The following is a 25,007-nucleotide window of genomic DNA, read 5'->3' on the forward strand; positions in this document are numbered from 1 at the left end:
TTTAACCCCTGGGTATCAGTGAGGTGGTAGATGTCATGACCAGAATGCCCACACATCTATCAAAGAAAGCTTGAAATCATTGTCTCAGATGAGAAGAGTTTTAAGGAGAGTCTTAAGTAAGATATGACACTTGTCAGAGGAAAATAAGAAAATTGTTCCAGATGGTTGAGATTGTGAGAGAGAGGTGAGGAGGTCAGAGGAAACAATGACTGGAGAGAATAAGAGAGAAGAGGAATGGTGAAAACCCTTGGGGACTTGGACAGGTAACTTAAACTTGATGTGAATGGCAATAATCCCAGTAGACAAAATCAGTAAAAAATAAATTCTAAGTTCTTTGGCATGCAAAATCAATCTTTTAGTGACCACTCTGAATTGACTAGAGAGTGCTGGCAGGGTAGGAGAAGTTTGTAATAAAATGGTATAACTTTTAAAATGAGAGGAGATCCAAGTGTTATGTATGCTGTAGTTGGTTGCTTTTTCCTGCTTTGCCACAGCGTGTTTACACCTTGCTGCTAAATGCACTAACTGTTCCCTATACTGTCTACCAGCAAGATGGTGATAGTGCAGTCAACACTGCCTGCTCTAGTGTTAGCAATTTTAGCCATCTCAAAGAAATAGTTAAATAAGGCATATGCTTTTTCATTAACTACTCTCTAGACTTGGATGTATGACAAGTTTTTGCATTATTGGTTTTTTAAAAATCAAAATGTACTTTCTTATAAACTGAAAGCATTTAACTCTCTCTAAACCTGATCTTCCTCAAGTCTGCTAGAACGAAATATAGTTTGTTTATTTCTGTCCGCACAAAACATTTGAAAGTGAACAAACTGAAGGGTATATGCTTCAGTAGTAGCATCAGCAGGCTATTTACACTCTGGTACTAGATTCCATGGGTGTATCTTGGGTTCACTGAATTCTGGCTGTGGGATGTACCCAAATTATTTATCCTTGTTCTTACTTGGTTTATTCCTCTTTAAAGGTAATATTTGCATTATAGAGTTGTTAGGATTGAAAAATACATTATGTATAAAGACCTCAGTGTACTTCTAGGACCATAGTAAGGTTCAAATTGTGCTGCATTAGTCCTTGGATTTTTTTCATTTATTTATTTGCCCAAAAATATTTATTACTAACCTTCTATTGCTGAAGATACAGTACTGTACAAAACAGAAAAAGCCCGCACCCTTATGAAAGTTACAGTCCAGCTAGGGAAGACAGAAAAAAAAATAAACAAGGAACATATAATGTATCAGTTATTGATAAATACTATGGCATTAGGGGTCAAATTATTGGTTTTTAATCACTTGTAGTTTTCATGGATAGCCTAAAGCAGTGATTGGTTTATCTACATTAGGAATGGATGCATTTCTCTATTGGATGGATATGAAGGCAGATCCTTTACACAGTATAGCAATATGATCACATGATTTATGATTTATGGTCCAAACCAGGGCTCTTAAGAGGAAAAGCAGAGTTGCGGATATTATACAGGGACAATAGGTGCAAATCAGGACTGTGTCACGCACACTAGGGAGATATAATTACGCCAATAACCAGGGACTTGAGCTAGAAGCATTTCAGGCAAGGCAGTGGTGGTATCAGTGCCATATGGCATAGGCAGCATTAGGCAAAAATGATGTAGTTCAAGTAGCAAACATCTGGACAAGGTAAAATGGATGGTGGCCAGAGGACAAATAGGTTTCATCAATAAAGCAACTCAGAGTCAGCTGATAAATTCATTGTCCTGATGGAGGGAGGATGCCAAATGTGGCCACTTCTATCTCGGGTTTCCTGGCTCCAAGGCAGCAGGTCCCAACCTTATATGAGTTATCCTGGGCTCAACAGCCTGGCTCCCATAGGGCAGGTTAAGTTATTGTCCTTGGTGGAAAAGGAGGTATATGTATTCCTCTAGGAGCCCACAGTGAACCCATGCTGGATAGCAAGAAGGATAATCTCTGGCTAATTTGGGTTTGGTGAATGACAGGGAGTAGTTCAGGCACCTGTAAGGCTGAGTGAGGCTCACCTTGGAGCTCCTAGATTGTTCTACTAGGGGCCATATTTTTTCAAAGGGTTTGTTCTCTTTTCTTGAGCTTCCCACCACATCATTGAACTCCCCCTGCTAAGGATTAGAAAAAGCTCACTGATAACTGAGTACTCAAAGTGGGGATAAAGAAGAAAACCTTTATGTGAGTCTCACTTAAAAAAAAAGTTCAAATTTCCACATAAGTGTAATGAAGTAATGACTGACACTTTGGCCCTTTTCTCTCTACCTAAGGTGCTCATTGTCAGTTATTGCTAAAAATAATCCCATCTCCCATGAGCATAATATTTTAAGGTGTCAGAATTTAAAAAATTTTAAAATATCCTTTTAATGATGTCAGTGGCCTTATCAAATATGTCACTCAAGTGTCATCATGGTCCTTTTGTTGTTGTTGTTTTGTTTTGCTACTGGTATCACCATTTTATAGGTATTGAGATAGTACATGACTTACATAACAAAGTTAAGGGGACAGTCTGGGCTAAAATTCTGGACTGTTCTGATCCCAGAGTGATAACTCAATAAACACACAACACTCTTGTATTTAAATTCACTTTAAAAGACCATGCATTTTTAATACTATTCAAAATACTTTTCAAGTTTGGACATATATTTTTAAAAATATATTCTTATATTATTATATTTTATGACCTATTTTTTCTTTAAAAAAGAATTAATTTAGTCCCTCTTTCTTCATATCTCCATCTAACCATCCACCCAACACACATAGATTGAATGCCTGTTGAGGTGTAGCACAGACTTCTTTGCTACTCTAAAGATAAGAGAAGTATAAGAAATGGGCCCTGGATTTTCACTGAAATGACTATAGTTCAAATAACTTTCACATAGAAGATGCTTCTGACAATTATACATTATTTGTTCCTATGTAATAATAATAATCAGAATTAATATTCACATTCTTATGAGAATAATCAGAAATAATATTCACATTGTTGTAAGAATTTACATCTACTATCTTAATTGATGTTTATAGTTTGAGTTAGAGATTATTATCCCCACTAGAGATGAGTATGGTTCACTAACTTTTCTAAATTTAAACCTAGCTCTCCTCACAGCTTACTCTCTTAGGAATTTACTGTTGCTCACAGGTGCACAATAAAATAATTCAAAATACAATTAATACAATTATGTACTGAATTACACTGACTTAGTGCTAATCTCTGGTCCTGTAACTGAACAGCAACATGGTTTGGACCTACCATTATTGCTACTCAGCTTCTATGCCTTTAACTGCAAAATAGTGACAGTATTAGTTGCTTTAGGTTATTGCAAGGACTAAACCTATTTGTCTTTCTCTTAACTAAGTAATTCAAGTGATACTTTTTGACCACTTACCATGTTCCAGGCACTGTTCTGGATGTCAGGGAAAATGTAGGTGAGCAAGAGAGGCATAGTGCTGGTTCTTAGGAAACATGTAGCCAAGTAAGATAGGGAAACAAAGAAAAATGTAAGCAAATAGAAAAATTAGAAATTATAGCATGCACTATGCAAGAAATGGAATACTGAGATGAAGCATGGAAGGATCATATTGTTAGGTTATCAACTCCGTAGGTACGGTGGTTGCATCTGTTCCATTCATTACTGTATTCCCAGTGCTTGAAATATTGTGGGCAATCAATAAATGTTAATTGAATGAATATGTAAATAAAAAAGAGTGGAAGTGTCTTTAGGGACAGCTTCTTTAAAAAGGTGAATTGTAAGTTAAGATCTAAAAGATGAGAAGACTTGATCATGTCAAGCACAGAATAAAAGCACTTTCTAGGTTAAGAGAACAGCATGGACAAAAAGCCAGAGGTGGGCAAGAGAGCTCTTCTCTCTTTGTCTTGGCACTGGATGTAAGAAAAAAAGGTCCTTTTAGAATATGAAACTTGCAGTAAGATGAGTTTAGAATTTAGTATTAAAATAAATTGGTCTTAGGCCAGAATGCCACAGGAAAAGTTGCTCTGGAGGAACATTTCCTCAACTCAGGCCACGTAGAATAGGCACAGATAGTGCCCTCCTGAAGATGAGTTTACTTCTTAAAATTATAAAATGTGATATACCATACCCTGAATAAGAGCTAACAGACATAACAAGCAGAAGGATGAGTCACAACAAATTCAGAAAATAGAACAATTTGATGAATATGATAATAAACATGTTTGAAATAATTATTGATATAGAATAAGACAGTAAAGCTATATATAATTATGAAGAAAATATGTTAATATAGGTTTGAATACCTTTCACATTGTTTCTGTTTATTATTAAATATGTATTAATATAACTATACATGCAGTCATCTATCAACAGGAACAGCTCAGTACGTACAACTCTGACAGCAATTGTCCATTTATGCATATTAGTTGCGTAATTTCTTTCTCTTAAATTTGAACTTTATATTACTTTATTTAGTGTGCATTTGAGTTCTTCACCATGTCACAGAATACACACAATGGTGTATATTTAGCATGCTCTAAAAATACAAAGAAAATACTAAAAGCAAAGGCCTGTGATTGATTGTACATTTAAATAAATGCACTACAGATTGAGACAAATGCGCCAAGCGTGTGTGTTTCACTCTATCGTCACACAATTGAATAAACACACATGTACAATACAATGTTTAATTGAGTGCAGCAAGTACATTTATTTTAGTGATTGCATCATTGCATATTCAGGCAAATGCATAGGGTTCACTTTGGTGGAGCTGAAGTTCTACATACACATATGGGTTTTAAATCTTTCACTGACTTTGATAGTTCATAAATACCCACATATTTCTATGCAATTGAAAGGAAATGTGTTTTATTTCACAAAATTTACTTTTAATAGATATAAATATATTTGAAAATAATTCTGGTTATTGGTGCTGTAGGAAAAAACAAACTTAAAATCTCTAAACATTACTTTATCTTAAAATGTCACTGTTCTCAGTGAGGATGAAACAGGACATTTCCTTTTTGCCTGGGCAGCTTTTCTATGACTATCTCATCTGGAAATTGCAGTTCCAACTCTTTAGGCACCAAGCATCGGACTCATTTTGCTTTTGGATTATTTGCACAGCTTCGGTCAAATTCAGTATCACCTCATGCATGCATGCACATCTGAGGGCCAAATCTGGGCTATTAGATCTAAAGATCCAAATGGAGCTTGCCAGATTCTTTCATGCTTCCTTCATGCTCTATTTACATAGTTGTTCTTTTTCAGAAATGCTGCCATACACAGATTTTATGTCATTTCTATTAGTGGCATCTTGAATGGAAGAAAAAGAAAACAAAAGCTAAATAGTAGTGTTTGTTTTATTGTGTCAGCTTTCTAACATCTGTTTCATTTTCCAGATGTGATGGACAGGTAGTGATGGATGTTCGGTACAAGATACCCAAAAAGAAGTTGTTCAAGTAACAAGGTTTATAGTTTGATCCTTTTTCCTTGAATGTACAGGCTTAATTTTAATTGTCCTTCTTTAATAGGTAGATTTTTTTTTTAATTCATGCTGTTTAACTCTTTTCACATTGAGGGATTATTAGTGGAGACATTTTCCAACAAATATTTTCAATTAGTAGAAACCTCCCAATGTTACTCTAGAGTAATGTTTTCCATAGTGAATTCTGCAAATTTAATTTCAAGTACTGTTACATGGGAAAAATATTTTGCCAAATATGTTTAAAAATATGTATATTCTAATAATATTAATTAATTTTGATTAACTGCTTGCTGGGTGTTTGGCACTCTTAATTGCTTTGCCTGAACTAATTGGTTTCAGGTTCTGTATTTTTCCCCCATTTTGCAGATGAGGAAATAGAGTTTAACATGTAAAGTAACTTCCTCATGTGTTTCTTACTTATAGATACACGAAATTCATTAACTAAGAAGTCCTGTACAGAATTAACCTGGTTAACTTTTATTATTATTATTATTATTTTTGAGACGGAGTCTTGCTCTGTCGCCCAGGCTGGAGTGCAGTGGTGCTATCTCGGCTCACTGCAAGCTCCACCTCCCGGGTTCACGCCATTCTCCTGCCTCAGCCTCCCGAGTAGCTGGGACTTCAGGTGCCCGCCACCGCGCCTGGCTAATTTTTTTTGTATTTTTAGTGGAGACGGGGTTTCACCGTGGTCTCAATCTTCTGACCTCGTGATCCACCCGCCTTGGCCTCCCAAAGTGTTGGGACTGGTTAACTTCTTTTTAGCCCAATTTTTACCAAACTTATTTTATGATGGAATACTTTTCATGTAAGATCTTTTAACACCCCACTTGAGGACATGCTAGATAAGGATAATACAAATAAATGATACTTATCACCTTTATAGATATTAACAAAAAATGCCTGGCCGTGCTCATAGAAAAATATAAATTTTAAAAATAAACTTGCTAATCAGTTTAGTTAAATGACATGATTTTGGTGAAAAATCAGCCAGGTTAGTCGCTTGATTTTGTCTATTTTTAATGCTTATTTGAATGTTTTGCTTATCACAGCAGGTCATTGCTGCATTATTCTAATATAGCTAGTTGAAAAGTAAAACAATTAGGTGAGCCAACGGGTCATGATGCCTTGTAACTGATTTTTCTTTCCAAATTGACTGAGTGGAATAGTTGATTTACCCTTAAAACATTTTGATGTTATTTGTATTGCCAGTGCTTTTTAATACTTTTGTAAGTTTGCATTAGAAGGGAATTTGTATTTATTATACATATATAATTTTATTCAAAATAGATACATCTCAAAGAACAAACTATTTAACCACTGGGTAAGGTTCATGGCAAGATGAGATATCACTGTGCTTGTTTTTAATCATGAGAAAAAAAACTAAGCTCCTTTTATTTTTACTTTTTCTGAAGTAATATTGTCTCTTTCTTGTTCACACAACAAAGAATATATATGATAATAAAAACATACATAGCATTTACCCATTTTATATCAATTAGAGAAAAGCAAATATAAAAGAGCATAGCCTCTTAATGGACAACACTTTAAAGATATAAAAATATGTACATATTTTCCTTTGCTGTGACAGAAAGCAATTCTGAAATCAGACAAGAAATAAAAATAAATAATTTCACAAACTTTGAGAAGGAACTAAATTAGGCTTCAGCTTGATTCTTCTGAAATGTTTTTATTGCCATTTTATCCATCTTCTGCTTAAGATGTTGGTGAGATGATGAAAGCTGAAAAGTAAATAGGTGCTTCAATAAATGCAAACAAATGAGTGCTTTCCTAGCAAAGAATTAGGGAAAATCAGCCTTTCCTCTGAAGCTAATCCCTGGACAGCTAAAACTGTGAATTTCCCCCCTCAACATGCACACAGATGGGTTGCCACTGAGGATGACAGATGAGTTGTGTTTGGCGGGATTAATGGGCATTATCATGTTAATGGATGCTTAGGTGAGGTCTGAGCAAGTCACAGGCCTGGGCAGAATTACTGTGGTTTACAGAACTGTGCGTGCTCATGCTCCTCTTCTCCTTCTTCTTCTTACTAATAATTAACTTGTAATGTTTAACATTTTTAGCCCCCCGAATGATCCACAGACTACTGCCTTCCTAAGTACTGAGGCATTTATAGATCCAGCATCATGTGCTCCGTCCTTTGACATGCAAAATGCAGGCAGTCCTGCCTGATTTGTCCTTCCATTGCCTTTGTGCATTCAGCTCCCTCATAATCCAGAGTCTACTTTGTTGCAATCGCTTTTGAAATCTGACATATTGATCAAGAGTTTAGCCTTAGTAACTACAGCACATATATCAACTGTTGTTGATTGTGTCAGGTCACATTTGATGGCAAGATGATCCTGTACCCAACTAGGAGAGCTTCTGCAGCTCTCATGAGTTGATTCTGTTCCCCTCAACTGGCCAGAAAGGTATGTTGCTGCATCATTGATAATGCAACAGCATTTCATAACACCTTGTTCAGGGTCTGTGTGTAAGTTAAAGGTGATGGAGATATCAGCAAAGAGATTAAAAACAAAAGCATCATCAATAGTCTATAATGGCTTGCATTTCAAAATTAAGGCAAAAATCAATGAGTATTAATGTCAGACTTCTACATCCTTTTGAAATTGTCTAAAAATGGCTGGGTGTTTTCCTATTTACTTTAATTCAGCAAACTCCTTTTCTATGAATAACTGTCAGTATTACCAAATTAAGAAACCCTTACAGATACTTGCTTTAAAAAATATTGTTGCAGAAAATAGTTTTTATATAACAAGGATTTCTCTCATACCCTACAGTAGCAATTATTTAACATGCTAGGTAGTTCCTTAAAATTCACTTTAGCTCTTCTTTTTAAAGAGAGTATTTATACATCACTCGGGTAGGAAGAATGTGATTAAGGGGAAAATATTTCACAAGTTATTGATTTCATATAATAATTAAAACAAATTGCTCACCAGTAGGATAATACTTACAGGTAGATAGACCAAAAGTCTGTCTGCTAGAGAGAACCTAAGTTTATTCCTATTGTGGGAGAGTGGTTGTCAACACAGCCCCCTTTTATTCACAAACGTTCGCATTTGGATGATAAACCTGTAAACCAAAGTAATGGATTTCTAAATGAGGTTGCCCCATATTCAGAGTATGTCGGAGGAGGATATTACTTGGCAGTAAGTTCCCTTTCGTTCTGCAGAGGGAGACACTGAGGAACAGAATTTCCTTCTGAGAAGAAACTAAGACTGGAACCCAAATACTCAGATAACTCTTTCATGTCTTTTCCAGTAAAAGACTTTTAAACTTTTCGTTAAAAAAAGAAAGTATACGGTTCACTTGCATGGTGACTCTTTTGATTTAATCATTTATTTTATCTCCAATAGTTTGTTCTAAATAAAATCAAAATATCAAGTTAATTCATTACAAAATCTTTAATCACCTGAATTGATGAAATTAAGAATGATCTATTAATCACATTAACTAATCAATTAATTTTCACACCAACATTATGAGTTAGCTATTAACATTTTATAGATGAGGAAACAGATCTGAAGAGGTGGAGTATGTTAAGAGGACACACAAATAAGAAGTTGGGGATAGACTCAGTATGCAAGGATGGCTGGCTGCAAGAGCCTCCAGGACGTATTGACTTATGTAAGCACAACCTTGATATAAACTTTAAAGCCTAAAACATGCTGTTCATTTTGATCTCCTTCTAGAAATATGTTTGATGCCAAAATCGGTTCCTATTGACGGAAAATTACCAAACTGTTCAATAGTTACTCCTATGTTTTTTATTTTTTTCATTTACATTTTATGTTCTTCATTCTTTTTTAAACATGGCTTTTAAATAATTAACAGAACAATAAGTCATGGTCATGCAGAGTGATCAATTAGCACACTTCATAAACACACTGGCAATTCAGACATAAGATAGCCAGCCTTGGAGAATTCTTTATTAGAGAATGAAAACCATTTAATGGATCAACATGTAAATCTTCAGTGTTGTATGATGAATAACATTTAGGCATCATGTTTTTGAGAGTCAACTTTAGGAAATGTGTTTTTGAGAACCAATTTTAGGAAATACATCAAAAGTAAACTTTGGAACTTACCCCAAGGCCTGAAGTTACCCTGCCAAAAGAAAAAGCTATTTAAGAAACATGCACCAAACAAAAAAAAAAATCTTTAATTAATTAATTAATTAAAGCATTAATTAATGGTCACTGACTTCTCTTACCATAGTTTCTGTATTTAAAAACTTTGATATAGAAAATAAATTATGTTCCACATTGTAAGTATGTTATGAGGATAGGTGGGATATTATAGACAACAGAGCATTTTAAGTCAAGGTAATCTTTAATGACTCAAGTCGACTCCTCACCATTTCATAAGTTTTTACCAAAATTTCATGGAAAATAAATTCTCTGGTCTATTTGTACTTTTTATTGCCATTTCAAGCATATATGGAGTCAAAACATATTTTTAGTATTGCTATTTTTTATATTCTTTACTTTTAGTGAATGTTAATTCAGAAGAATCTTTTACACTTCCAAAAGGTATACATATTCTTATGGCCTGTAAGTGAAATGCTTTCTGATAGTAGCTGGATATGTGTGCAAGTTTCACATAATTTAAAAATAAAAGAATCCCTTTCTCATTTCAATATTTGTGCTTTCAGAACGATTCCTTGATTTCACATAATAGCCTCTGTGGTAGGTTTTCTGAAAGAAAATGTATATGTGTTGTTAAAAAAAATAGTTTTATTTTTTAAGACTAATTCATCCAAAATAAAGTTTACCAAGTTATGTAATATTTCTCCTTGAGCTAACTCTTCACCCTCTCATACCCAGGGGTATAAAGGAAAGAAAGCAGAAAGGGGGAAGTCTAATTTTTTAAAAAAGATGTATTGCATTGTTGTGAACAAATGTTATCAGTGCTGCTCTCATACTCAGGGAGTGTGTGTGTGTATGCTTCCTGTAGGTCTTCCCCAAGGGAGTGCTGAGGCAAAAGGCAGAAAGCTGCTGAGGACAGAGTGCTCCAAAGATCCCACTCCACCTCAGCCCTGCCTTCTGCCACTGCTGACCTTTTAGGCACAGCGGTGAGCCCTGTGCCCTGCAAGGACCTTTCAGATTAGGTAGGTGAGGGTCTTTGGGAATAAATCTTGAGCAGATAGAATTTGCAGCCTGCAGATATAACCATCTACGTTCGTCATCTGAAGGCTGTCAATGCGTATCACCGAGGAAAAAGAAGAAAAAAAGGCTTACTTTGCAAAACTTCTATAAAGGAAAATGTGTGCAATGGAAAGTACTTGGAGTGATGTGCCCATTATGCATTCTGGAATCAGGCATTATGCAAAAGGATACATCTCCTGCATGCCTTGTCCTTTCACATGGGTCTCAGAGTAGCCCTGAGGATGAGAGCGTCCTTGGAATCTATTTATCTAATGAGTTGGCCATCCTAAATATTTACCATAACAATATGGCAAGCATTGCAGGGGTTAACTCACTTCCTATTAGCCTTTTCTCAGCACTTTCCTCTTTGTTGGGGTGAATTTATTTGTGTAATCTGAAGAATGTGTCGACTCTGCTCTGGACACATTGGCTCTGGACCACACCCAGAGGGAGCATGTAGAAAGGATCTATGTTAGGTGATACCCTGAGAGTGGAGATTTGTAGCTTAAATGAACATTATTTCTGCCAAATCATTTCAAATATGTTGTTTAGTTAAGTTCTCTTCCCTTTTACTTCTTTTCTGTGGATGCATGGTGTCATTTTATCTCCACCCAGGAACTTGTGTCAACAGCTCCCTCCTCGGACCATTCACTAGAGTTGCAATGTCACCATGTCAGAATCTTGCTTTTGTTTTTGTTTTGTTTTATTTTTAAATCTGGAATGTTTTTTACTACTGTCCATTTGCCTTTCACTTTGATGTCTGTGATTAGCTAAGCTCTCTACTAATTCAGACTGAGTACACACAATCAGCAGTCCCATGTGCCTGGATTGGCATATCAATTCCCTTCTGCTCCCCTTGGCTGGTTGGGCTCTCTTTGTTACTAATTTAGTACTCAGTTTCTTATGTTCTTTAAGAGCAGAACTATCAAACTTTATTTTCTCTAAAACTTGATTATATTAATAATACAGAAGACTCATATTAGTGTGTGTGTATCTTTAATTTTTTATTTTGTTGTCAGTTTGTTTGTTTTTTAAACGTTTAGAAGCAGAGTTGAGTATTTCCTATTAAAAACCTGTTGCGCCTATTGGTGTAAACTCTTTAAGTCTGACCCTGATTGTAAGATTATCTGATGACAAAGTATGGACATGCCTCCTACACTGAGCCTTTAGCAGAATGGTTTCAAGATTGTTTTCATTTATTGCCTGTTGAGAAAAGCCGCAGGAAAATGTCAAAGTAGTACTCAATGACATGTTATACTAGTTTTAAGCAAAGGGGTAATTTTTAGTTTTTTATTGTTGGTGCAATTGCCTGTGTATGTTTTTCTTTATGCTGTCTTTACATCATATAGCTTTATTTTCTCCTTCTGTATGTTTGTGGCCCTTTGATTGCCAAATCTTTTCTTGCTTTGTGATTTGGATGAAATCCATTGCTTATCTGTTAGGGTTCTCTCATCAGGTTTTCTTTAAGCCTTGGGATTTTTCCTCATTTCCTTTGTCCCAAAACATGAATCAGAATGGGAGTGTCTCTGCAGGAGGGGAGGGAGAGGAGACTGGGCTGAGTGGAAGAAAAATCTGCTTTCAGAAAAGATGCTGTTTCTTGAGGGGGTCAGACCTGAGGGAAAGTATTGAAAGTCTAGCAAACTCAAGAATCTTTTTCTCCCTTCCCCCAGCTCCAACCCCTAACACAGGGGAGATTCAATACTGACTGTCATGTTATCCACTGGAGAATTTTACTAATAAAATTGTATCCCTGCTCTATTCAGGGTAAGTTTACATGTTGTCACAATGATATACTTCATTCTGATTTTATTATTAAGCTGTCTCAGCAATTCATTTGAAATATAGTCATCACGTTTGAAAACTAACAAAGTTTTAATGGAAGGTAGTGAAATTTTTATACAAAATAGATTTCTTCCATGACGGATTGTTATTAGCTTGGAATACTCAGTGACAAATCAGGTAGTGTAATACTAAGACACATTTAACAGCCTTTATGGTTTTCATGAGTACAGCTTAAATTATTGTCTTTCGCATTACATTCTAAATATAGAAATAATATAGAAGATATGTATGGTTTATCAAGTGATGACCAGTGGCATATTGCATCTTGTTTAGAGTCAGTCCTCTTGTCTTATTGGGAATATATAGTTTAACAAGGCACTTGCCATCATTTCCTTAACAGGGATAATAAACAGAACAATTCTGCATAAAAGCTCATATCAGCTTCTTTCATGCCTTTTCTTTTCAGAAGGCTGCCTAAGGGTTTAAGCAATTTACTGGTCTGACCCGCATCCTTTCTCTGCAGTCTGCGGTTCTTTTGTTTAACATTAGTATGTGGGCAAACAGCATTCTGAGCTGTTCAGAGCTTATCAGCCTGCGTTCAGTCAACCGGAACCCCATTCTATGTATCTAAGCGGGGCCACATTTAATACTTCACAGTGGGAGCATCTGCAGTTTCTAAAAATGACTTGTTTATCAGATAAACTCTGTCCCTATGCTGACAGATGTGGTGGATGGTGGATCTTCAGTATCATACTTCTCTAATATAGGCTTGTACAAAATATAGTATGCTGAGGGACAGCGAGACCCACAGACCAGAGTAATGACAAGAATCATTTATGTAGACACTCTCCAACTGCACTCAGAATTTACTTATAGGATATGGTGGGGAAGAGGCAACTCTCAGATTCTCTTTTGGAACTGAATAAATAACTAATTCTCATGTTACTAAAGTGTTAAGTAGAGGAAAGACATTTTCACTGTTAACCTAACGTTTTATGATTTCATTGGTAAACACTGTAAGGTGTCTTAGTGCCATGGTCTGATAAAAGCCAGGAGCCTGAGGGGGTTGACTGAAATATTGATCATCATGTACCCAGTGGTACCAGAATGTTAGAAAATTAGAAGAAGTGGTCTTAGGAGACTTATCTGCCATTAACCCAAGATAATGCTAATATAGTCTGTTAACTCAAGATGATCTTTTCTTTAAATTTTTATTAGAATTTCATGAAGTTATTTTAAACATGTTGAGGAACTATAAAACCCTGCTTCTAATCACTATCCCAATTTGAGATTTTATACTCTAGGCATATAGTATTATGCAGTTATTTTGAAAGCATTGCCAGTCTTTATGAATGTATGTATATATGTATACTTATGCGTATGCATACATGTATACTTCCAAAAATAAACTAAGTATTTATTTAACTATAGCATTTCCTAATATTGTCTTTGTTCTCAATGGAATGAATTAAAGGATTTTTTAAATGTACATTTTTGAGATTTATTCCCAGAAGAACTCCAGTTATGATAGAATTATCTGTACCTTACCCTGACATCTTGGCATTTCTGAGGTAGCAGCCCAAAGTAATGTTAAGTAACACAAGTATGGACAAGCTAGTGCCTTACCAAGGGGACCATTGTCACAGAACAGGAGCTGATTTTAACTGATATGGTTTGAACCTTAATGCAATTCACATTGCTTGTAGTAGTCTTATAATTTAGCACATATGTTACATTTTTGCTCCTACCTATAATTACTCTTTGTATTAAAGGATTTTCACCCTAATTATTTCTCTACTAGTAGCCCCCTTCACCTCTCAGCTCCCTGCTAATTAAATACTTTTAAACATGCCTTCGTTATTAATTGTGAAGTGTTGCCATAACCATATGATATAATAATTATTTGGAAGACCAATTTTTAAATTAATAACTTAAACTTTGGTATTTTCAAACAGGAATTAAGGTAATATGTAGACCAAAACATATAATATCATGAGAGGCATCTTTGAAGCCTATGTGGTCAAATCATAGGCCAGTACAATGTTATTCTTAACAAAATTATAATTAGCATAATATACAAATCAATATAATTCTAGAATGCACAATGATATATATTTGCATTTCCATCGTAACTTCCTATAGGATTTAAAGGCTTTTTTAATGTGTAATTAAATACATCCATGTAGTGTCCTTATATGGGCAGGCTTATGAAAGAAGCAGCCATTAAGAAATATATTCAATATCAGACTAGAAGACATTTGTGTGCCTTCCCTACTCTCACTAATGTGTGCTAGCCAACTGTTCATGCAGAAATTGTAACTGTTAATGAGGGTTAAAAGGAAATTTTAAATTAGGTGTCATCTTTTGACTAAGGTACCTCAAGTGTTATATTCTGTCTAATATTTATTTTCTATCTTGCCTCTTGCTCTTAACACAATCCACCACTTAAAGAAATAATAATTATTATGATATTTTTCAAACAAAACACACTCCCGCCCATTCCTGGCCCAGCACATTTCCTGGGTCTAACATTTCTGATTGCTCACTGTTTTTCCTAACACTAGATCCCGTATGTCATATGCCTTGCATGGCTGCAGACTTTGGCCTTTTCACCTGCTGTTTTGGTTGGCTTTAGATGCAAAGAGAAGACCATGAAAAAGAGAAAGGGGGAGGGAGGGAAGTTTGGAAGACTGAAGCTAAAAAAAAATGGCAAATGTTTTTAGCGCCTTCATCTAGACATGTGTCCCCTCACTCTGTGACATGGCTGCTCCAATGTTGCCATGGTGAGGATTTCTAATCATCCCTACACATGACAGGCTCCTATTTGTCTGCACTCCCTTGGGTGTAAATTTCTAGGCTTAAAAAAAAATCCATGTGAGCGTATCATCCGCCGTGCAGATGTTTCACTGCTTTAGAATATCAGGCAGCTGCTTGTGCCACCGTAGACAGCTAATTGGAGACTGCATCGTAGGAACAGAGGCGCAATTATGGCATAAATACACATCCTCTGGTGCATCATTGTATCTCTATTAACAGAAAATTTTAAACAGTGCTCAGAGTGTAATTAGTGTAGTTGATAAAGTTGTAAAACATGTAAATAAGGGAAATAGCAGGTACGTGGCCAATCCACTATCCAGCACTAGGGGATGCAGATTATTGCCTATTTAGAAATAATTAGCAAAGCTGCATTAGCAAAGCCTGTGTCCAACAGAAGCAAGGCAAACATTTATTCTGGTAACAGCTCTTTCTGTGCTAGCCATGAAAATCTACTAATATTGGTAATTTAGCCCTCATTACCAGAGGATAAAGCATGAAAAGAGCTCAGACATGAAATATGACAAGTAATATTAATTTTTATTCCAGAGGAAAGGATGCTTCCTTGGGTTGCATGCTGATTTCTCGGCAGGGTCTCAGCAGTGCATGTGGAGGAGGCAGTGGGTAGCTGGTAGTTGAGAATTCAGGATATGGAGCTGACTCCCTGCTGGAGGTATACCCTGGGGTGGCTATGACAGTGGCTGATGAGGCATGCCACTGTTAGTGCCCAGCCAAACCTCAGGTCACAGTTCAAAACAAGCACTCAGCCATTAAACTTCAGTCCTCATGGACCTTGGAGGGTTTATGTCCTCATTCCTGCTCTTTTCCACCCTCCCAGCCCCTTTTCTCCTTACTCTCTGGCATTTTTTTTTTTCCCTTGGAATGATTTTGCAGAGCTATACAGGCGATCAGATTGATTTTTGTGCTTGCACCGCCCTTTACAACGTGCTTCTGATAATGAGCTGCTGTTGTTGAAGTGGAGAGTGTGGTAGGGGTGGTTTCAGCTGCGTCTTAGCTACGTCGTGTGCTCAGGATAAGAAATGATCCTCTGCCTCATATACATTGAAGATTGTGTCACTGAAGAATATCACCCTGTGGCCAGGAATCATGAATGGCAAAAATTTGGAGCTTGTTTCACAAATACTCTTCCTAATGAAGAAAAATGCAAAAGCACTGCGAGTTCCCCAAATCTCAATTCGTTTTCCAGACAGTGGGCTAAAAAGGCAGAATGTTTGGGGAAGAGCCACCTTTCTTGCATTAATCCCTGGCTGTTAGCTTGTTCTTTGTTTTATTCTTAAAGCAGAACAAATGGCAAAAATTAAGAACCAAGACCATGAAACTAACCATATTTTCTGGCATTTATATTATTTACCATTATCTCCTTATTTTTATTATGCACAGGTACTGCTTCTTTTTATGTGCTTCTAGGCACACACACATGGAGTCCCCTTCCTGAATCTTCTGATTTGAGCCACTAGGAAAAAGTTATTAGCCAATAGCAAACTAAATTTCCACTCAGACTGAGTTTCACAGTATGTTCAGAATGTCATAGAACATTGTGTCTTAAAAACAAAACAAACGAAAAACAGGTTGGATATTTTAGAACTTTAAAAAGTGAAAATGGTGCATTCACAAACCCATTGAAATAAAAAGAGGGATCACCTTCTTTTTCAAATATGAAGATTGAGAATCCAGGTTCTATCTTCAGAGGTTGTAGACACTCACCACCTATGATGAGTTGTCTCCTATCCAGGAAATATTGAAAATGACAGTGGTGGTGTTCGTTACTGCTACAGCTTAGACTAGTGCTACTAATGAGTTGTAAGTCACTTGCGAGTACTGATCAATATTTGTAGGGCATGGTCATGCACAAAATGCAAATGTGCACACTTACATAAATATATATGGCATCTCTCCATACCCACAAACACACACTATAATTATTGTACTGCAGATTCTGAATTGTGAGATTGTATCTCATTCCTTTTGCTCTCCCACTTCTGAACCAAAAGTACAACCCCAACCAGGCATGAAAACATTCTTTCTTCAATTTAGCATACCCCCTTATCCACAACGAGTTGAAATTAGAATGACAATTGGAACCAGATTACTTTGATTAAAGCTCTAGTTTTAAAAAGTTCCAGTGGCCTCAGTTTTCTCAACTGTTAAGTTAAAAATGTCTCCTTGTCTACCTCTTATGGTTATTAAGAGAACCAAATGATATAATACATATATAAATACCCTGCAGACTGTAAATATGACCAAAATTAGTATTTATATGATTTGCTTACTAGACTAAGTTATTATTATATCACTATCACCTCACAATCACACTTGGACATTTGCCTGTGTTTTAAAATGAAGCACAAATAAGCTCAGACAACGTCATAAAATTTTTCTCTGATTGTGTCTGTACAGTGCCAAAACTGCTGATTCACAAATGAAATTGCAGTCAACCAACCAGATGTTTCTTCTACAGGATGCCAAATTGCCACTTTAACTCTAATTTTTATCCAAGAAACTTACTATGTGTATGGAAATTGTACGAATGCTGCATTCATCATTTTCATTTTAAATCCATGTGAGGGATCTCACATAGTTTTCATATACCTTAAGCACACACATAGCTCCTTGCTTATCGGAGATACGTTTTTCATATTCTGCAAAGTGAACAGCACTCTGAGAGTTGCCTAGAGGAAAGTTATGCCCAAATTGCAGAGTTTTCCCAAGGGAATCGGCCAGAGGAGCCTGCTCCTGGACAGCCCTTGTTAAGAGAAATCCCATGTAGAGCAAAGCTCTGATTTGAGTTATCACAGTTGCTTTAACCCCTTGTAGGAAAAAAAAATAGTTGTAGAGAGCCCTATTTTCCTAATTTCCCCCGTTGGCTTCTGGTGTTTGACAAACAGTTCCTGTTTGGAGACATTATGCTGTTCCTCTCTACTCCAGCACGATGCCCACTGCCTTTACTAAATTGGCACTGAAACAGCAACCATTGCCAAGATCTATGCAAGGGCAGGAGGGACTGAAAGGGAACATGAAGCAAAATGATCCCTAATTCAAGTAAATTGTTGTTACCTTTCTTCACATACTCTTTCTCCCCTCCCTTATTGTTCTCATCTCAAAAGAGAGGAAATAGGTTCCAAATCAAACCACAAAGAGGATCTTCAGAATCAAGTTAAATTGGAGCACAAGGATTGAGGCTGATGGGAATATGGATTTGCAAGGTGCCAAAGCCTGATCTAATTTACATCCATTTGCTGATTTCCAGCCCTTTGGCATCTTTTGAAATGGCATTTCATTGTGGAGTTCTTGTAACCATATATTTCATATATGTTGTTTTGAGCTTTATTCAAACATATATTTTATTTTGCACAAAACTATATGTATGGATGGATAGTGAATTCTACGTGCCAAGTATTTAGACTAGTTTTATAATTTCTCCGCTTCTTCTCTGAGCAGCTTTCTCCAAAGGGGCCTGTAAGTCATAATCACAGGGGCTGTTTGTGAATATATTTCTCTGGGCCAGAAATTTTGCCAGCATTGACAGGCACCCCGGACAGCTTTTCAGAAATCTCCTGGTTATTACTTATCCATTAGAAAGGAAAAAATGATATTTTCCATCAGGAGTTGTTTCCTTCCCTCTCTCTCTCTCTTTCTTTTAAATTATAGAAATAAAGTGCCCATTGTAAATCGTTCATGCTGGCGGACAATATTGCATGCAGATCAGGCACACAGCCCATTGGATGGGAATGGTATGGGGGTGGGGGAAGCCTTTGTGGATGAGTAGACATGAGAGGGATACTGAAATGTTTTAGTCAGGTCAAAAATAGCTCATTAGTGGGTAGGAAAGCTAGCTGCTCATCCTTTAGGATGGAAACAGCCTAACTTATTTACTTCAGGAGTTTCTCATTGTTTTATTCTTAATAATAAAAACTTACATTTCTTCTTCATATATTTGCATTTACTGTAATGTAGCTTAATGGCTAAACAGATCTTAAAAATAACAACAGTTACAATCGTTGATGTCCCAAATGAGATTAAAAAAAAACTTTTCTCTGAACTTGAAAAGTAGAGTTTGGAATAGCTAGAATTCAGACACATTGATTAAAAAAAAAGTGAGTATTAATTCTCAGTGTTCTTAATATTAGGGAGAAGTTAAAGTTTCTTCTTTGAAATTTAACATTAGCTTTAGCTTTAACATTAGGGCTCCCTCTTTCCCAGCCCTTTCTCCCGTCACCCTCTCCCATAATGACCATGGCTGGGAAAACACAGGACAAAGAAGATTACATCCGGATGTCAAGTTTCTTCCCAATACATTAACCAAACAATGATAGGAGATCTATTAGCAGAAGAGCAGAAGATAATTCTGGAATCACAATAATTTTAGAGAACAAAACTCCTTCTGATAAATTTATTTTGAAAGAATAATCAGATGTCTCCTAGAATTGCAAACATCGTCCAATCCATCAGAGACAGGGAAAAACTTTTAAAAGTCCCCAATTCCCTATGTATAAATGGAGAAATATGCAAATCTGGAAGAAAGATGAATAACACATAAGCGTAATAGAAGACAGGTAAAATAACAGCATGTATCATGGAAAAGGCCATATGTTCATTTTATGTTTCTTTTGTCTTCATTTTTTCTGAGTTCATTAATTAGGCTTTTTTTTTTCCTCCTGAGTCAAAAGTCGGTCCAATAAAGAGCATTCCTCAAAGTTCTAGTTTGTTATCAAAGCCTCTCAAAGTGAAGTATTTTGATTGTTCTGGGTGCATCTGGTTGGTGAAAATGATAACTGAATTCTTCAACATCAAGCAAAGGGTTGTTTCTTGATGACTGCATGCTTCTGATCAAAATTTATTCTCATAGATTTATTGGGCATTGATTTGGTGCCAGGCACAATTCAAAGCCTACAAGTAACAAATTGATGAAATAAGCTGCTCAGAGAGCCAGAACACGTAGTAGCGTGGTCACTTCAGTCATATCAGGTATCCAACTGAACATAGTTTGGTGTCTGAAATTTCATGCCTCCTGGGTTGCCTTGAATGAACCTGGTCAAGGCCATGGGTAGCATACTTCATGTTCTCCACTCGCTGCTACTTTGAAAGATCCTGGAGTTGCTGCTCCCTTGGCAAAAATCATTGTACTCATTTTCCGCACCATTCATGAGATGATTCTTTTTTAGTTAACCAAATGCCTTCATGAGGCTAGAGAACATATGGAAAATTCCCGTTTGTGAGTTTTCTATGGAAAGGTAAATGATAGGCAGTTGTAAGCTACTGTTAAAAATTAAAATCCAGTTATTTCGTCAAGCCTTTTGATAATTCATTTTGGGAAGAATTAGTTTTTTGTATTTTAACCATTGTAAATCTTAGTTTTACTTCAACATAATTGGGGAGATGAGGAGAACTGAAGTATCAGACTTGAGAATTAATTTAAGGAAGCAAAATAGCAAAAGTTTTTTTAATTAATGCAGAATCCAGAATTTTAGTGCATGGCAAATAACCAGATTGGTGTAGTGTAGGACATAAGGAATAAGAAGTATGAATGACTAGGCAGCATAAATAATCATTTTGACAATAAAATAAATGAAGAAAAGAAAAGAAAAATAAGAAGTGGGTATGCTAGTCAAGATGCTTGATTTATGGAGGCTTATTAGGTTTCTTGCTTATATTTTTATTTTCTTCTTTATTCACAACACACACATTTTTTTCCTTTCTTCTATTTTACTCCTTGCTTTTACCTTATCATTTTCCTCTAGATATAAACAGGTGAAGGAGAAATAAATTTCTTCTTATGTGATTCACCTACTAACACATATGAGATAATAGAAAAACAAACAAGAGACCTGTGGTCTGTTAAAAGAATATGGAAGAAAATGCAATCTTAAATTATTAAATATCAAAATATGTGTGTGAGGGTAACAATAATGTCCTATTTTAAATTTAAACTTGTAGATCTGAGCCACCACTTTGCATAGATACATGATCATTTTAGGGATTCTGCAGTTTTCCAAAACATTCTGAAATAGCTTCTTTTGAAATTATCAGTAAAGTCTGTTTGTTTTACAAATCACATGAGAATATCAGCGTTTTTTTGTTCACATTAATTATACCAATTCCATATTATTAATTACTTTAATCATTTTACTTTAAGCTAAATAGTTTCTGTACTTCAACATCAAAGTGTGAACTTGAAATAGTAACTCCAGCAAGAAAAAAAAAAAAAAAACATAAAGCAGTGACAGTGTTTCTACTTAAATTTCAGGGCTTTATCCTTTTATTTGTTAAATTAATTCTAAAGTATTTTGTTTTTCTTTATTGTAGTATGAAACACAAAACACAGAAGGAAAAACATATGTATATGTGAAGCTTAAATAGTTTCTATTAAATTGAGGCCCTTAAGGCATAATTTTTTACTTAAGAGAATAAAAATTTAAACCAGAACATAATTAATACATTTCACCATTCCTGAATATGTGAACTGAAATTCTTGTCTGAGAAGAATACACCTATGCTTATATTATGAGTTATATGGGATTGAGTGGCCAGTGGTTTTATACCTTTGGCTAAAATCATCAGTGGGAATCTTATACATTAGAAACTGATGTTTTCATAGGTAAATTTTGGTGATTTTGTTTGGTGAAGAAGTATACTAACCACATAGGATGTAATTGAGGCTGAATAATTCCTGGCACAAAATAATAAATCTCTGATAACTGAAATGTGGCTCAGAGCTTTGCCTGTACAGTTATTATATACTGGTTTCTTCATTGGAGAACTATTCAAGGTACACATATCATGTGGACAGCATGGCTTCTAATTGGGCAAATGTCTGTTTGATAAAAGTGATCAACAAATGTGTTTATTCCTGAATCATTTATGGTTAGAATATGAGAGCCATACCAGTAACAGGGTGATCACGGATTGGTGAGGACAATAATGCTTGTTGAATTGGAATATATTTTACCTTATGCATCTATAACTAAATTTTAATGAAGAAGAGGTTTCATATTTCCTTCTATTTCTTTTACTGTTCACTTCCACTGCTGAACTCACTGAAATATTTGGATTTTGGATATTATTATTTGATTAGACATGTTGTAAAATATATCTGTAACAACTGTGGAATAGTTTTATCTTCAGTTGGAGCTCTCTTATGTGACAAAGTTTTGTTCCTTATCTGTCAGCATTAAAGCAATTGGGTTATGTGTTCTTTTCAGTGAGCCTCTTCATGGCCATTTTTACATCAGTCTCAAAATGTATTAGTAATCTGGTAAATACTTTTTCCACCCTGTCTTTATGTGTAATAGTTAAGTTTAGGCCCACTTTGCTATTTGGATCAAGGACCTTTATTACTTTACTCTGTCTCTGATCTGCTTCTTAGGACCCAGTGGAATATTTGCTTCTTAGGGATAGATGAGTATAGAAACAAACATGTTTGGCTGTGGGAAGTGGGATTTAGTTTCCATTTATTTGTTCTGAGTGTATCTCAGCAACACACTTTATGTGTATTTTCTCCCACCCTAATGGATAGATCTCCCATTGATTTCAAAAAGATCCTGAAAAGCGTATAAAGAGATAAAAATCTGATGCTAATCTTAGGAAGTAGGATTCACTTTATTCCAAAGGTTTTTCATCATCTAGTTTATTCTTATCCTTAAAAAAATTTCTGTCTCTAGCTACCAAATATAGAAGTACTCTATCACAAATTATCTTTCCGAAAGAGAGGGAGAAAGATTGTTTTCAAATCCCAGATTAATAATTTTTACATAACAATTTCTAAAAACAAGCTTGAAAACAGAATGCTTCCTTTAAATTAGCTGCTACTGTACAAATTAAATTAGTTCGATAAGTAATCTAATCATGCCTTGCTCTATCATGTAGCTAATTAATATATTATGACTTGAAGAATTCTGTTTATATTAAATGTATATATAATACACATTTCATGGCTGATCTTGCAAAGCAATTTTAACGAATGATAGCTGCTGTGTGGAAGCTGAAAGTTATATTTGGAAAGTAAACTTTAAAAAGATTAGTCATTTGAGCCAACTTTTATCAATACATGCCCTACCATTTAAAATCAGTAGTTTGCTTCCCTTTTAAAATTGTGCATTATGGGTTTAAACGACATTTCATTTTACTAGATGTTATTAACAGCATTAGTTTGTGGTTCCACTTTAATATTATCATCTGAAAATTAAGATGACAATAAAAATCAACCTTCATGATTATTCCCCAGGAATGAGTAAATGCAGTAGTTACAGTGTTCTTAACGAAAATGATACTGATGTTGCTATAAAAAAAGGCATTTAAAGTAGCTGTGTTTAGAGTATCTCACTAATTCTTGAATGTCTTAGTTAAAACGGTTCCCAGATTCCATAAACACCTGTTAGTTCCATCTTTTTAGAAAACAGTGTATAGAAAGAAGTCACCTAGATCCATTCCAATGTACATGATTTTTAAACCACTTATACTTTCAAACCACTTATATAACATATGCATATAAATATAAAGTGATAAAGCTAGTGTATACAATGATTTTAAAGAAAAATAAATCATTTTAGAAATAAAAGTTTTTAAATAATATTGAATACATGTTCTAAATGTCAACATATTCCACAGATAACATATTTTGCATTTCATATTGTTTAGGTGTTGTTAGGTAACACATCTACCAAAAGTCTCTGTCTTGGAAGGGCACATACTATGACCAAAAGCTTGGAATTTGTTTTACAAAAAATGTAAGTACTTTCAAAATATCAAGAGTTTGAAGGAAGTACTATTTATTATATTATTACTCCTGCATTTTTGTTTTGGTTTTGTTTCTTAGATAGAGTCTCGCTCTGTTGCCCAGGCTGGAGTGCAGTGGCATGAGCTAGGCTCATTCCAACCTCCGCCTCCCGGACTCAAGCAATTCTCCTGCCTCAGCCTTCCAAGTAGCTGGGCCTACAGGTGCATACCACCACACCTGGCTAATTTTTGTATTTTTAGTAGAGACTGGGTTTCACCATGTTGGCCAGGCTGATCTTGAATTCCTGACCTCAGGTGATCCAACCGCCTCAGTCTCTCAAAGTGCTGGGATTATAGATGTGAGCCACTGCACCCAGCCTCTCCTGCTTTTCTGAATAAACAAAGTATTGGAGATATTAAGCAACCTGGCCAAGTTCACCAAGATCATGAGAGATGCAGTAGTCTGAATGTCATACTATACTGTTTTGAGGCTTGTTGGGTGGGGGAGAATTTATGAAGACTCATTTATAATGCTGCACAGTAGGAGTGGAGAGAGAGTGGAGGTGAGCCTAACACTTTTGGATGTCTTTTTTTTTTGGAAGCAATCTATTTAAGAAAGAAAGAGACTGAGGACCTAAGCTAGAATAAAAGTGATAGAAATTTAAAATTATGTATGGATACTAGAAATATTGAAAAATCTAAATTAAGAAGACTAGCTAACTGACTACACAGGAGCTGAAAGGGGAAGTGTGCATAATGAGACAGAAGAGAATTTACTAAATAGGATACAGTTTATTCTACTTTTAAGGATCAACATAAAAGGAAGTTACTCAAACTTAGAGAAAATTTCTACAATGTTTTAATAGCTGTTTTATGAAAGAAAGTCTAATTTAACCTGCTATTCTTCTCATTTGTTAAAAAGAAGAACAAGAAAAATTATATTTTTTCTTTAGACTCGATTATTCTAGGAAATTTAGTTCTTCAAACTCTAAATTATTGTTTTCTTTTTATGTTTTCCATATATTTCCTCTTCTCATATATTGAA

General features: G+C 35.4%; 3 annotated features.

Moving 5' to 3' along the window:
- Nucleotides 10,062-10,859: an enhancer, noted in NCBI's record as "OCT4-NANOG-H3K27ac hESC enhancer chr6:98487053-98487850 (GRCh37/hg19 assembly coordinates)". NCBI's record gives its function as "activates a minimal SCP1, AML or CMV promoter by ChIP-STARR-seq in primed H9 embryonic stem cells {active_cell/tissue: H9 hESC(primed)}" and the evidence as "EXISTENCE:reporter gene assay evidence [ECO:0000049][PMID:30033119]".
- Nucleotides 10,860-11,657: an enhancer, noted in NCBI's record as "OCT4-NANOG-H3K27ac hESC enhancer chr6:98487851-98488648 (GRCh37/hg19 assembly coordinates)". NCBI's record gives its function as "activates a minimal SCP1, AML or CMV promoter by ChIP-STARR-seq in naive and primed H9 embryonic stem cells {active_cell/tissue: H9 hESC(naive and primed)}" and the evidence as "EXISTENCE:reporter gene assay evidence [ECO:0000049][PMID:30033119]".
- Nucleotides 14,838-16,247: an enhancer, noted in NCBI's record as "VISTA enhancer hs563". NCBI's record gives its function as "enhancer in: hindbrain (rhombencephalon)[9/11]" and the evidence as "EXISTENCE:transgenic organism evidence [ECO:0001131][PMID:17130149]".

This window comes from Homo sapiens, chromosome 6 (assembly GCF_000001405.40).
Source record: "Homo sapiens chromosome 6, GRCh38.p14 Primary Assembly".
Lineage (NCBI taxonomy): Eukaryota > Metazoa > Chordata > Mammalia > Primates > Hominidae > Homo > Homo sapiens.